This window comes from Homo sapiens, chromosome 18, assembly GCF_000001405.40.
Source record: "Homo sapiens chromosome 18, GRCh38.p14 Primary Assembly".
NCBI lineage: Eukaryota > Metazoa > Chordata > Mammalia > Primates > Hominidae > Homo > Homo sapiens.
The window spans coordinates 6511198-6525532 of NC_000018.10; the positions used below are offsets into that span (position 1 = coordinate 6511198).

At 39.4% G+C, this 14335-nt stretch overlaps 1 long non-coding RNA gene across 1 annotated transcript in view; it reads left to right on the top strand.

Annotated features, from left to right (window-relative positions):
* The first annotated feature begins 218 nt into the window (after window positions 1-218).
* Window positions 219-14335, top strand: part of LINC01387 (long intergenic non-protein coding RNA 1387) — a 79238-nt gene continuing 65121 nt past the window's right edge. The window contains exons 1-2 of the long non-coding RNA NR_120518.1: window positions 219-413; window positions 2442-2529. This is a non-coding gene — a long non-coding RNA (long intergenic non-protein coding RNA 1387). The remainder of the gene's footprint in view (window positions 414-2441; window positions 2530-14335) is intronic.

The following is a 14335-nucleotide window of genomic DNA, read 5'->3' on the forward strand; positions in this document are numbered from 1 at the left end:
CTCACCTTTATTTGTTTTGTGTTTATACAGAACCCCACACCTAGACCATGCCTGGGACTTAGGTGTTCAAACAAAGTTGATGAATACATGAATGAATGAGTTAAATTTTACATAAGCTGAGAAGACTTTGTTTCTTTGGTTCTTCCCTTTCCTTCTATGGATAACTCAGGGATAATACTAGGACTCACTTCAGACTGGTCCAACAGCTACCAGGATGAGTATTTCAAAGCTCTCTGGGTCCTGGGGATGAGCAGTGCCCTCTCATCCTGTAATAATCGTGGACATCACACACTGATGTACAGACATGGTGCCAGCGCCTCCCTTCCTTGGGGTCTTGGAAAACCCGGTGCCACAATGGGATCTAAGTATCCTTGGATCAATACGGATTCGTGTTTCTCACACCGAAGTTCAGGGTAAGTTATGCTTAGATGTTTATGGGGATTATACCTGGAGCACGCAGAAGAGCTCTTTGTTGGTGACATTCAGGTCTCATCTGAACCTCCACTGAGAACCCACGGTGTGCTGAGCAGTGTTCCAGGTGCCTGTACATTGATTACAGCATTCAACCTGTGAGATTGCACAGGAATTTCCATTCATGGGAAGGAGAACCATTCTCAGGGCTGCTGCTGCTTGCTGGTTGTTTAGAATGAGTTATGAAGACCAACAGGGTCTTAAGATGGGCAGTAGGGAGACATATTTTGATAACGCAGAATTGTCTTCATTGAATGACATCAGGCAGGGCACACCAGCTCCGGCTGGCCATGCTTCTCCACCTCCCACAGTGGGTGGGAGCCCAGTACCTCCCTTACCGAGGCTTCTCGCCTGGACTGCAGGCAACTGGGTTTGCATCCTCTGACCTACAGCCTCCAGCAGTGTATGTCCCCAGCAGTCTACAGAGTGATGTGTTTTGTTTTGATCAACTCTCTCCATGTAGACACCTCTTGCTTTGCTGGGAGTAAAGTGGAGGGAAACTGGGGGATGAGTGGGAAAAGGGCAAAGTGGTGGGAAAAAGAACCTTGTAGCTCATCATCCTAGCTTGAGGACCAGCCTAAGCACACTATGGGCCCAGATTTCATATTCCTTTTAGGTCTTGCAACTTCCACCCTTCCCCTCCTATCACGCCACACTTACCTAACTCCGAGATGCACCTCTCAACCTCTCACTCCTGAAACCCTCCTCTTTGCTCTATCCTAAAATTTAAAACCCAGTCTTTATTTTGCTCCAGATTAAAACCCAGACCCAACTCCCACCCCGAACTCCACCCCCTAAGCAGGAGGCTTCTAATCACAAGAGTGTACTAGGGATATTTGGAAATAAATAAGTAAATACATATATATATACACACACACATATGTAAACACACATGTATATATGTGTATATATAGTGTATGTATATTACACATATATATGTATCTATGTGTGTATATATGTGTACAGCCAGTGGAGGGGTGGGGAGTCAGTTCTGGCCCTGTCTTCAGGGAAGGGGAGATCGCATGGGTCAGGAACGTCTAAGGGACCTCCACCTCTCAGGGGTGGAGTGGGTGCCCTTCTTCTCTGTAGAATAAGAATGCAACTTGTACCTTAGTTTCTGGGTTTTAATATATCCTAACTGAAATACAACAAGTTGTGAAGCTGAGAAATTATAGGCAGCTGATGGGCAGTGGCAGGAACTGGGAGATCAACTATATGTTTTGGTTTTGTCTGTTTTTAGTTCAGTTGAATGTGAAGAGGGGTATACGATTAATATGGTGATAAAGAATTAGAAAAAGGAAATATTTTGTAAGCATTGTCTGAAAGTAGCAGACAGCCACGCAAACCTGTGGTGGTCCAATCCTAAACAGGGAGTGTTATACATGCCTTCATAATATGGAAGAGTTTACTCAACACTTGAAACTTTCCAACCAGCATGAGTTCATCCCCAAATCCGCTAAAGCAGCATTTCCTTTGGAGGGGCACATAAACCCTAGGATGTTAGCATTAGGAAAGTGAGGGTATTAAAACCCAATCCCCTAAAGACCTGCAGACTACCCTGCATAATTGGGGAAAGTAATCCAAGTGGCACACACGGGTGCCTGAACAAATTACCCAGAAATTCACTGCCTTTTATGCAAACTAATTTAATCTTCTCAGAATTTAGCCTTTTTGGCTAAGCTATGCTTCCCCAGGGGAGAAAAAGCGAATTAAACAGCAGTTTTCACCAGGTACACCAGCCTCCTCACTCCAGGAAAAAGTCTACAGGCTGATCAGCAGAACTAAAGGGATCCATTTTACGTGTTTGGCAAGGGGCTTGGTGTCTGCGTTGGCTTCCCTGAAGCAGCCGGTAGCAGCAGTCAGCTTTATAGAGATGGTTACTGCAGAGAAAAATGACAACCGGTTGCAGGCAGCCACCCACTTTTGAGACCTAGAAGGTTGTTCCTGAAACGCTCATTATGCTTCTCCAGGCTCTGGCAGCTCCAGGTCCCCTGAGGCCCTGAGGAAAGAGTCACTTGAAGTGGAGTGGACCCTGGTACTACTTGCAATTCCTCCAAGGTGACATCTGCTTTTCTTTTCTTTGTGCACAAAAGAGATCCAGAAATTAGCATGATGCCTTATCATATTCTCCCAGAAATTGACACAAAAATATGAAGTAGCTAAAGGCGGTGAACTGGATTGTGGAAGTTGATAATCGATTCCTCGGTGACCCCAAAAGATGGAGAAACTAAGAAAGGCAGTTGAAAGTCAACTAGTAGCTGATAAAGAAATGTTGGGCACATAGTTGTTTCAGAAAACATCTGCCCCTATTCCCTATGTGCTTTTAAAAGATATTCATTATTTTTTAGACAGGGTCTTAACTCTGTTGCTCAGGCTGGTCTTGAACTTCTGGGCTCAAGGGATCCTCCCACCTCAGTAGCTGAGATTACAGGTGTGTGCCACTGCAACCAACTAATTTCTTAAAGATATATAGTGATCTTTGTATTTTTGTATTGTGGTAAAATATACATAACATTAAATTTACCATCTTAACTCTTTTTAAGTGGGTAGTTTAGTAGTGTTAAGTGTATTTACATTGTTGTAAAACAGACCTTCAGAACCTTTTCTTCATGCAAAACTGAAACTCTGTACTCACTAAAGAGCAGCTCACCATTTCCCCATCCCTCAGTACCTGGAACCACCATTCTACTTCCCATGAATTTGACGCTTCCAGGCATTTACCTCATATAAGTATAATCATACCACATTTGTCTTTTTGTGACTGGCTTATTTTGCTTGGCATAATGTCTACGAGGTTCATTCATGCTGTAGCATGTCCGTGCTGTAACATGTGTCAGAACTTCCTTCCTTTTGATGTCTGAATAATATTCCATCAAATGTAGAGACCACAGTTTGACTATCCATTTATCTGTCAATGAACATTTAGGTGTTTTCACCTCTAGGCTGTTGTGAATAATGCTGCAATGATCACAGGAATGCTAATATCTCTTTGAGCACTATCTTCAATTTTTTGGATATATACTCAAAAGTGGGATTTATGGATCATATGATATTTCTATTTTCAGTTTTAGAGGATTTTCCATACTATTTTCTATGGCATTTGCTCCATTTTGCAATCCCACCAACAATGCACAAGGGTTACAATTTTTCCATATCCTCACCAACACTGACTTTCTGTGTTTTAGAATAGCCATCTTAATGGATGTGAGGTGATATCTCGTTGTGGTTTGGATTCAAATTTCTCTGATGATTAATGATATCGCATATCTTTTCATATGCTTGTTGGCTATTTGTATGTCATCTTTGGAGAAATGACTATTCAAGTCCTTTACCTGTTTTTTTAATTCTGGGTTTTTTTTTTTAATTGTAAGAATTCTTTATATATAGTGCCTATTAACCACTCATCAAATGTATGATTTGCAAATATTTTCTATGATTTGCAAAGAATTGTAAGTTGCCTTTCACTCTGTTGATTGTATCCTTTGATACACAAACATTTAAGTTTGATATAGTTCCATGTGTCTATTTTTGCTTTCGTTGCCTGTGTTTTTGGTGTCATATCCAAAAAATATTGCCAAATAAAATGCAGAAAAGCTTTCCCCCTATATTTCATTCTAGGAGTTTCATAGTTTGGGGTCTTATATATAAGTCTTTAATGCACTTTGTTAATTTTTGTATATGGTATAAAATAAGGGTCAAACTTCATTCTTTTGCATGCATATGTCTAGTTTTCCCAATATCATTTGTTGAAGAGACTGCTTTTTTTCCATTGAGTTGTCTTGACACTCTCATCAAGGATCATTTGACCACATCCATGAGTTTTATTTTCTGGGCTCTCTATTCTGTTCTATTGGTCTACATATCTGTCTTCATGCTGGTACCATACTGTTTCTGTTACTATAGCTTTGTAATATGTTTTGAAACAGGAAATGTGATTCTTCCAACTTCCTTATTTTTCAGAAATGTTTTTGGCTATTTGGGGGTCCTTGGGATTTCATAAAATTTTAGAATAAAAATTTCTATTTCTGCAAAAAGTGTCATGGAGATTTTGATAGGGATTGTGTTGAATTTACAGATAATTTTGAGTAGCATGAATATATTAACAACTAATGTTAATCTTCCAGTCCATGAGAATGAGATGCTGTCCATTTATTTTTGTTATCTTTAACTTCTTTCAGCAATGTTTTATAGTTTTTACTGTATGAGTTTTTCATCTCCTTGGTGAGGCTTATTCCTAAGTATTTTATTCCTTTTGATGCTATAGTAAATTGAATTGTTTTCTTAATTTCCTTTTCAGATTGTTCATTGTTAGTGTATAAAAATGTATCTGATTTTTGTGTATTGCTTTTGTATTCTTCAACTTTGCTGAATTTGTTTATTAGTTTTAACAGGTTTTTTGTGAAATCTTTTGAGTTTTCTACATATAAGATCATGTCATCTGTGAACATGGCATCAGAGATTATTTTACTTCTTTCATTTCCATTTGGATGACTTTAATGTCTTTTTCTTGCCTAATGCCCTATCTAGGACTTCCGATACTATGTTGAACAGAAGTGGTGGAAAGGGAGGCTGGACATGGTGGCTCACTCCTGTAATCCCAGAGCTTTGGGAGGCTGAGGTGGGAGGATCACTTGAAGTCAGGAGTTTGAGACCAGCCTGGGCAATATGGCATGACCCTATCTCTACCTTAAAAAAAAATAGCTGGGCCCAATGATGTGCGCCTGCAGCTAGCTATTTGAGAGGCTGAGGCAGAAGGATCACTTGATCCCAGGACCTCAATTACAGTGAACTGTGATTGAACCATTGCAACCCAGCCTGGACAACAGAGTGAGATACTGTCTTAAAAAGAAGAAAGAGGAGGAAGAGGAGGAGGAGGAAGAGGAGGAGGGAGGAGGATGAGGAAGAGAAGGAGAAGAAGAAGGAAGAGGAGGAGGAGGAGGAGAAGGAGGAGGAGGAGAAGAAGAGTGGTGAGAGTGAGCATCTTTGTTACTAATCTTAGAGGAAATGCTTTCAGTTTTATACCTTAAGTATGATGTTCGCTTTGGGCTTTATCATGTTGAGGTTGTTTTCTTCTAGTCCTAGTTTGTCGTGTGTGTGTTTGTGTGTGTGTTTCATGAGTGTGCTCTGGAATTGAATTTACTAGTTTTTTTGGAATAGTTTTGCATCAATATTCGTCAGATATATTGGCCTGTAGTTTTCTTCCCTTGTAATGTCTTTGTCTGATGTTGATATAAGGATAACACTGGCCTCATAGAATGAGCTTGAAAGTGGTCCCTGCTTTTCAATATTTTAGAAGAGTTTGTGGAAGATTGGTATTAATTCTTCTTTTATTTTTAGTTTTTACTTTTTGAGACAAGGTCTTACTGTCTTACTCTGCCACCCAGGCTGAAATGCAGTGGTGCAATCATGGCTTACTGCAGCCTCAACCTCCCATGTTTAAGTGATCCTCCCACCTCAGCCTCCCACAGAGCTGGGAGCACAGGCATGTGCTACCACACCCAGCTAATTTTTAATTTTTTGTAGAGATAGAGTCACTCTATGTTGCCCAGGCTGGTCTCAAACCCCTGGGCTCAAGTAATTCCCCCGCCTTAGCCTCCCAAAGTGCTGAGATTATAGGTGTGAACCACTATGCTCAGCCTAATTTTAAATGTTTAGTGGAGTGTTCTGCAAAGTATTCTGGTCCTGGGCTTTTGTTTGTTGGGAGGGTTTTGATGACTGATTCAGTCTCCTTTCTAGTTACTAGTTTGTTCAGATTATGTTTCTTCCTGATTCACTCTTGGTAGGTTCTGTGTTTCGAGAAATTTACTCATTTCTTCTAGGTTAGACAATTTGTTGATGCACAATTGATCATAATACTCTCTTGTAATTCCTTTTTATGTTGGTAGCATTACCTGTAATATCCCATATTTTATTTCTGATTTTAATTTTCTCTTTTTCCCCTCGCAATTTAGCTAAAGATTTGTCAATTTTGTTGATCTTTTCAAAAAAACAACTTTAGTTTGATTGATTTTTAAATTGTTTTCCTATTGTCAATTTTATTTACCTCTGCTTTAATCTTTATTATTTCCTCCTTTCTGTTAGCTTTGGTTTTAGTAAGTTCTTCTTTTCTAGATTCTTGAAGTGTAAAGTTAGGTTTGATTTAAGACCTTTTTAATTTTTTGATATACGTGTTTACAGCTATAAATGCCCCTCTTAGCACTGCTTTTGCTGTATTTCCTAAGTTGTATTGTGTTGTGTTTTTGTTTTCATTTGTCTCAAGGTATTTGCTAATTCATCTTGTTACTTCTTTTTTGAACCATTGGTTGTTTAAGAGCATGTTTAAAATTCCACGTATTTGAGGATTTTTCTAATTTTCTTTGTGCTTTTGATTTCTAGTTTTATTCCATTAAGATCAGAAAATAATTTTTTTTCTTATTTTTCCTGGATTTATTTTTTTCTTTTGTTTTTTATTATACTTTAAGTTCTGGGGTACCTGTGCAGAACGTGCAGTTTTGTTACATAGGTATACAAATGCCATGGTGGTTTGATGCACCCATCAATCTGTTACCTACATTAGATATTTCTCCTATTGCTATCCCTTCTCTAGCCCTCCACCCCCTGACAGGCCACTGTATGTGATGATCCCCTCCCTGTGTCCATGTGTTCTCATTGTTCAACTCGCACTTATCAGTAAGAACATGCGGTGTTTGATTTTCTGTTCTTGTGTTAGTTTACTGAGAATGATGGTTTCCAGCTTCATCTACGTCCCTACGAAGGACATGAATTCATCCTTTTTTATGGCTGCATGGTATTTGATGGTGTATATGTGACACATTTTCTTTATCCAGTCTGTCACTGATGGACATTTGGGTTGGTTCCAGGTCTTTGCTGTTGTGAATAGTGCCACAATAAACATACAGGTGCATGTGTCTTTATAGTGGAATGATTTATAATGCTTTGGGTATATACTCAGGAATGGGATTGCTGGGTCAAATGGTATTTCTAGTTCTAGATCCTTGAGGAATTGCCACACTGTCTTCCACAATGGTTGAACTAATTTACACTCCCACCAACAGTGTAAAAGCATTCCTATTTCTCCACATCCTCTCCAGCATCTGTTGTTTGCTGACTTTTTAATGATCACCATTCTAACTGGCGTTAAGATGGTATCTCATTGTGGTTTTGATTTGCATTTCTCTAATATCCAGTGATGATGAGCATTTTTTCATATGTTTGTTGGCTGCATAAATGTCTTCCTTTGAGAAGTGTCTGCTTATATTCTTTGCCCACTTTTTGATGGGATTATTTGTTTTTTTCTTGTAAATTTGTTTAAGTTCTTTGTAGATTCTGGATATTAGCCCTTTGTCAGATGGATATATTGCAAAGATTTTCTCCCGTTCTATAGGTTGCCTGTTCACTCTGATGATAGTTTCTTTTGCTGTGCAGAAGCTCTTTAGTTTAATTAGATCTCATTTGTCAATTTTGGCTTTTGTTGCCATTGCTTTTGGTGTTTTGGACATGAAGTCCTTGCCCATGCCTATGTCCTGAATGGTATTGCCTAGGTTTTCTTCTAGGGTTTTTATGGCTTTAGGTCTTACATTTAAGTCTTTCATCCACCTTGAGTTCATTTTTGTATAAGGTGTAAGGAAGGGACCCAGTTTCAGTTTTCTGCATACGGCTAGCCAGTTTTCCCAACATCATTTATTAAATAGGGGATCCTTTCCCCATTGCTTGTTTGTGTAAGGTTTGTCAAAGATCAGATGGTTGTAGATGTGTGGTGTTATTGCTGAGGCCTTTGTTCTGTTCTACTGGTCTATATATCTGTTTTAGTACCAGTACCATGCTGTTTTGGTTACTGTAGCCTTGTAGTATAGTTTGAAGTCAGGTAGCTTGATGCCTCCATCTTTGTTCTTTTTGCTGAGGATTGTCTTGGCTATGCGGACTCTTTTTTGCTTCCATATGAAGTTAAAAGTAGTTGCAGAAAAGACATTTTATATAATGTCAACTTTCTTGAATTTGTTAAGATATGTGGGCTATTTTGGAGAATGTTTTCTGTATACTTGAGAAGAATGTATATTCTGCTGTTATTGAGTGAAATATTCTGTATATGTCTTGTCAGGTCAATTGGTCTATAGTGTTATTTAATTCCTTTATTTCCTCATTGATCTTCTGTCTGGTTGTTCTATTCATTACTGAAAGAGGAGGTCCTGAAATCTCCTACTATTATGTTGCTGTCTATTTCTCTCTTTGATTCTGTCAAAATTCCTTTCACATGTTTGTGGCTTTGATTTGCTGCACAAATATTTATAATTGTTATATCTTCTTAGTGAATTGACCCTTTTATCATTATATAGTGTCTTTCACTGTCTTTTGTAATTGTTTTTGACTTAAAGTCTATTTTGTCTGATGTTAGTATGGCCACTCCTGCTCTCTTTTGGTTGCCACTGGTATGGAATATCTTTTTCCGTTCTTTCACTTCCAACCCTGTGTCGTCTTTAGATGTAAGTGGCTCTTATAGACAGCATATGGTTGGATCCTGTGACTTTTTTATCCATTCGATGACTGTCTTTTGATTGGGGAGTTTAGTCCAGTTACATTAAAGTAATTACTGATAGGGAAGGACTTACTATTGCCATTTTGTTCATTCTTTTCTGTATGTCTTGTAGCTTTTCTCTTCCTCCTTTCCTCTCTTACTGCCTCCTTTGTGTTTCATTAAATTTTTTTGTAATGGCATGCTTTGACTTACTTTTAATTTCATTTTCTGTATATTTTACAGATTTTTTGTAGCTACCATTGCAATTACATAAAACAAAAAAGTTATAGCATTTTATTAAATGTTATAAAATGCTTTTAAACTTAACAGCACACTATTTTATTTTATTTTTTTCTGACTACAAAGACAAAGAAAACAGCATACTATGTTAAACAGATAATAACCTAACTCCAATCACATACATGCTTTACAAAGCATACAATATGCTTTACAGTATGTGTATAAATATCTTTATACAACACTTAATAAAGTGCTAAATCACATACTATAAAATCGCCATTATTATTGATGCCACAGATATTTGTGTTGTATAAAGATATTTATGCAATAGATGTAGTTTTTAAAATATTTTCATCATTTAAATTCTGTGTACCAAATTAACAATAATATAAGTTATTATATTTATCCATGTCTTTACTCTTGCTTGAGAACCTTATATTTTCTTATGACTCTGTGTTGCTGTCTAAATCCTTTTGTTTCTACTTGAAAGACTCTAGTTAGTGTTTCTTGTAGAGAAGGTCTAGTGGTAATAAACTCCTTTAGGTTTTATTTATCTGGGAAAGCCTTTCATTTTCAAAGGACAATTTTGCCAGATGCAGTATTGTTGTTTGACAAGTTCCCTCTGGCCCCAGCACTTTGAATATGTCACCCTACTTCCTTTGGCCTGCAGAGTTTCTGCTGGGAAATCTGCTGATAATCTTATGAAAGCTCCTTTTGTATGTGATAAGTTGCCTTCCTCTTGCTGCTTTCAGGAGTCTCTCTTTGTCTTTGATTTTAGACAGTTTGGCTACAATGTATCTCAGTGCAGTTTTCTTTAGGTTTATCCCAAAGCTAGTTAGAGCTTTTTGAATTTATTTCTTTCTTCAAATTTGGAAAGTTTGGAGCCATTATTTCTTTAATAATTTCTCTGCTCCTTTCTCTCTCTCTCTCTCTCTCTCTCTCTCCTTGGATTTCTATAATGTATACGTTGGGCCCACTTGATTGTGTCCCTTATGTCACTTTTCTTCATTCTTTTTTCTTTTTGTTCCTTTGACTGGATGATTTCAAATGACCTGCCTTCAAATTCACTGATTTTTTTCTTCTATCTGATCAAGTCTACTGTTGAACCCCTTTAGTGAATTTTTTAGTCAGATATTTTTGGGGGTTTTTTTTTCAAATAACTGTCTTTTAAAGGAAGAATAAAAACTCGATTGGTTTTTTTTTATAGTTTCCATCTCTTTGTTGATTTTCTCCTTTTGCTCATGCATAGTTTTCCTGATTTCTTTTTAATTGTGTATATGTGTTCTCTTTTTCTAAAGCTCATTGGTCATCTTTATGACTGTTATTTTAAATTCTTTGTCAGGGAGTTCATAGATTTGCAGTTCTTTTGGATCAGTTTTGAGAGATTCATTTTGTTTTGTTGATTAGGTTGTGTTTTCTTTTTTCATTTTTATGCCTTATAATCTGTTGAAATTTGGGCATTTGAAAAATCAACCACATCTCCCAGTCTTTACATACTGGCTTCATGCAGGGAAGGCTTTCACCCATCAGCCCAGCTAGAGGTTCTAGGACCTCTCAAACCTTTTTTGATCTCTTGCTTCCCCTGCTGTCCACCTGTGGAACTGCAACTCTAATGTACAGCTTGCCTCTTTTCAAGCATCTTCCAACTCTATCATTGGTTCCTTTAGTGCTCCAAGTCAGGAGAGACAGAAGCCAGTTTCTCAGGCAGCCCCCAGACAATCCAGAATGTTAGAAACATGGTCTACTCTTTTATTTTTATTCTGAGGGAGGAACCTTAGTATGGAGGTTTTCCTCTTGGTTGCCCTGTGCTATGCTGTGTAGAGGGAGAGGCACTGATGGGCACACATGAAATGCATGGCACACATGCATTTTTCTATTTGCTGGAATCTCTTCTTGGTTTTACCTTGGCCTGCATGCTGTAGCTTCTCAACGGGTCTCTAGAGTTCTCACAAAGGTATTCTAGTCCATACATTGCTATTAGTTCCATGTCTCTGTGGCAGAAGGAGGGCCTGGAGCTTTCTAGTCCATCTTGCTGATGTCACGCCTGGATATTTTTTTCAGTTCTGCATTTTAGCTGCAATAGATTCTCCTTATGAAAACCGTTTCTTCTTTTGTTGTGGAAAAGATGTCTGAAGAAGTTCTCTGCTAGTCCCACCTACTCTAATAATAGATGGAGGAAGCATGGAGCTACTGAGCCTCGAAGGCTCCCTACCCAACCGTGTCCCTTTCTTCCTTGAGTCACTCATGCTACCTAAAATCACCACTATTATTTCCATACACAATATGAATGGGAGAAGAAACAATTAAATTATTAGAACTCATCACCAGCTAAGTAAGAGGTGAGGTATGTATTTTCTCTCTCTCCCTCTCAATTACTGTAGGTATTACTTACAAAATAAATCTGTTTTCCAGCTATATAGACTCTCATTAACAAAACACTTAACACATTATTTTCCTTGCCCTTCCCACTGGAAGACAGTACAGCCCTGCCTTTCTTCCATGCTCCTTTGAATCGGAACAGTTAATAGCATTTTTGGGGTTTCAGGTGTGTGAAATGGGCTGCCTTGAAACTCCTCCATAGACTCTTGCTTTAAATGAGTGGATTATGGTGGAGAGAGAGGGTCTAAAGTCTGCGTGTGAGCTTTTGATCTCACCTCAGAAGGGTTTTAAGCCAGGTCATTGGAGCAGGACCCAGAGAGGAGGCTAAGTATGTGGTCCCAGGAGGGATGGAGATCTGGGCCTCACCCACAGACCACCTGGTGGGGAGATGCTGGTGTGGAGATCTCTGGCAGCCTGGCACTGACCACAGAGGTCCAGGGATGCTCTCCCTGAGGGCACATGGTCAGCATCACCAGTTCTTTCTCTGATGAACTACAAGGGGCCAGAGGAGAGGCTTTTCAGCACTGAGCAGGATTGTTGAGTAACTGCCATTTTCTTGGGCCATCTGAGTTCCCTGTCCTGGCCACATAGGAGTGGAAAGGGAGTCACAAAAACATGACGGATATTCCACTTTCTCTCACCTTGGCAAGCTAATCATAATTTAACGTAGAAAAATTAATTATGTACTATTTATTACTCCTCAAGAACTGTGGGACAAAATACATGCTTTTATAAATGGAGCTATAAATTGACTTTTTACTTAGTACTGTACTAGGATTATCACTTTGTAACATTAAATATTCTTCTAGAACATGATTTTTAATGACTACATAGTATTTTATGGATGATCTGTCTTTTGAAGGAATAATTTGATTATGCCATTTAAGTGTGGGGTGGAGAAGAGAGCTTTCTGGCTCGAGGAAGGGAGCTACATGGGCATTAGCTCAGAGAACCCGTCAAAGGACTGTCCTCAGTGCCACGTGTGAGCCCAGGTTCATCTGGGTTCTTAGCTCAAGCTGTGTTTTATTATACCAGAGACTTTTTGACCACAACTTACATTGAAAAATACATTTCTATGGCTACCTAGTGATTTTTAAACTAAATTTGTTGAAATTTTGCCTGACAGTGCTAAGGGAAGAGGAGTGTAAAGTGAGTGCACGTGTTAAAGTTTATATTGCGTTTCCAGGGAGGGCCTCACAGAGATGGTGGATTTGAGTCAAGACCTGGTAGAAATTAAGGAGTGAGCCAGGCACCTGTTTAGGGGAGAGGCTTCCAGGCATGGGAGTAGAAAATGCAGAACTTCTGCAAGGGGAGCATGCCTCGGAGGTTTGAGGAACAGGGAGAAAGTCAGCGTGGCCAGAGATGGTAGCATAGAATGAGAGCAGTGGACAATAAGGTCAGAGTCAGGAGCAGGTTGTATAGGGCCTTGCAGGCTACTGCAAAGATACTGGCTTTAACTCTGAATGACATGGGAGTTAGTAGAGGGTTTTATTTATTTATTTTGAGATGGAGTCTCGCTCTGTCACCCAGGCTGGAGTGCAGTGGTGCAATCTTGGCTCACCGCAACCTCCGCCTCCCAGGGTCAAGTGATTCTCCTGCCTCAGCCTCCTGAGTAGCTGGGATTACAGGCCTGTGCCACCACGCTGGCTAATTTTTTTGAATTTTTAGTAGAGACGGGGTTTCACCATGTTGGCCAGGCTGGTCTTGAACTCCTGACCTCGTGATCCGCATGCCTTGGCCTCCCAAAGTACTGGGATTACAGGCGTGAGCCACCACACCTGGCCTTAGTAGAGGGTTTTAATCAAAGGAATGAGATGTTTTAACCATTATGTTGAGAATATAGTATAGAAGGGAATGTGGGTAGTGGGTGAGGATGCAAGTAGGGAGAGCAGTTAGGAGCCTAGTTCTATAATACAGTGGAGACAGAAGGCAGCTTGGACCATCATGGGAACAATGGAAGGGATGAGAGGAGGTGCTTCAAAGAGGAGAGAGTGAACCACCATCTTCAGTACTGCTGATCAGCCAGGCAAGATGAGGGCTGAGAATTCACCATTGAATTTTGAATTTAGAAATGTAGACATCATTGCTGACTTTGACGATAGCAATTTTGCTGGAATAATGGGCTTGAAACCCTAAGGGAAAGACAGTTAAGACAGAATGGAAGGAGAGAAATGAGAAAATGTCGTACCACTTTCAGGGAATTTGCTTCAAAACGAAGGAAAGAATTGAAGCAGTAACTAGGGGGATTAGTGGGATCAGGAAAGGTTTTGTTTTGTTTTAAAGTGAAATGATTGTTGGCCAGGTGTGGTGGCTCATGCCTGTAATCCTAGCACTTTGGGAGGCCAAGGCAGATGGATCACCTGTCAGGAGTTTGAGACCAGCCTGGCCAACATGGAGAAACCCTGTCTTTACTAAAAATACAAAAACTAGCTGGGTGTGGTGGCACACACCTGCAGTCCCAGCTACTTGGGAGGCTGAGGCAGGAGAATCACTTGAATGCGGGAGACAGAGGTTGCAGTGAGCCGAGATCACGTCACTGCACTCCAGCCTGGGCGACAGAGCGAGACTCCATCTCAAAAAAAAAAAAAAGATTGCATGTTTCTGTGTATAACAATGGGAAGATTCAGTAGAGAGAGAGAAATAGATGATACAGGAGATTATATATTAAGGAAAAAATTTTCCTGAAACATTACCTTTGGCCATGCCATGCTATGCGTTCTGATGCTTTCAATC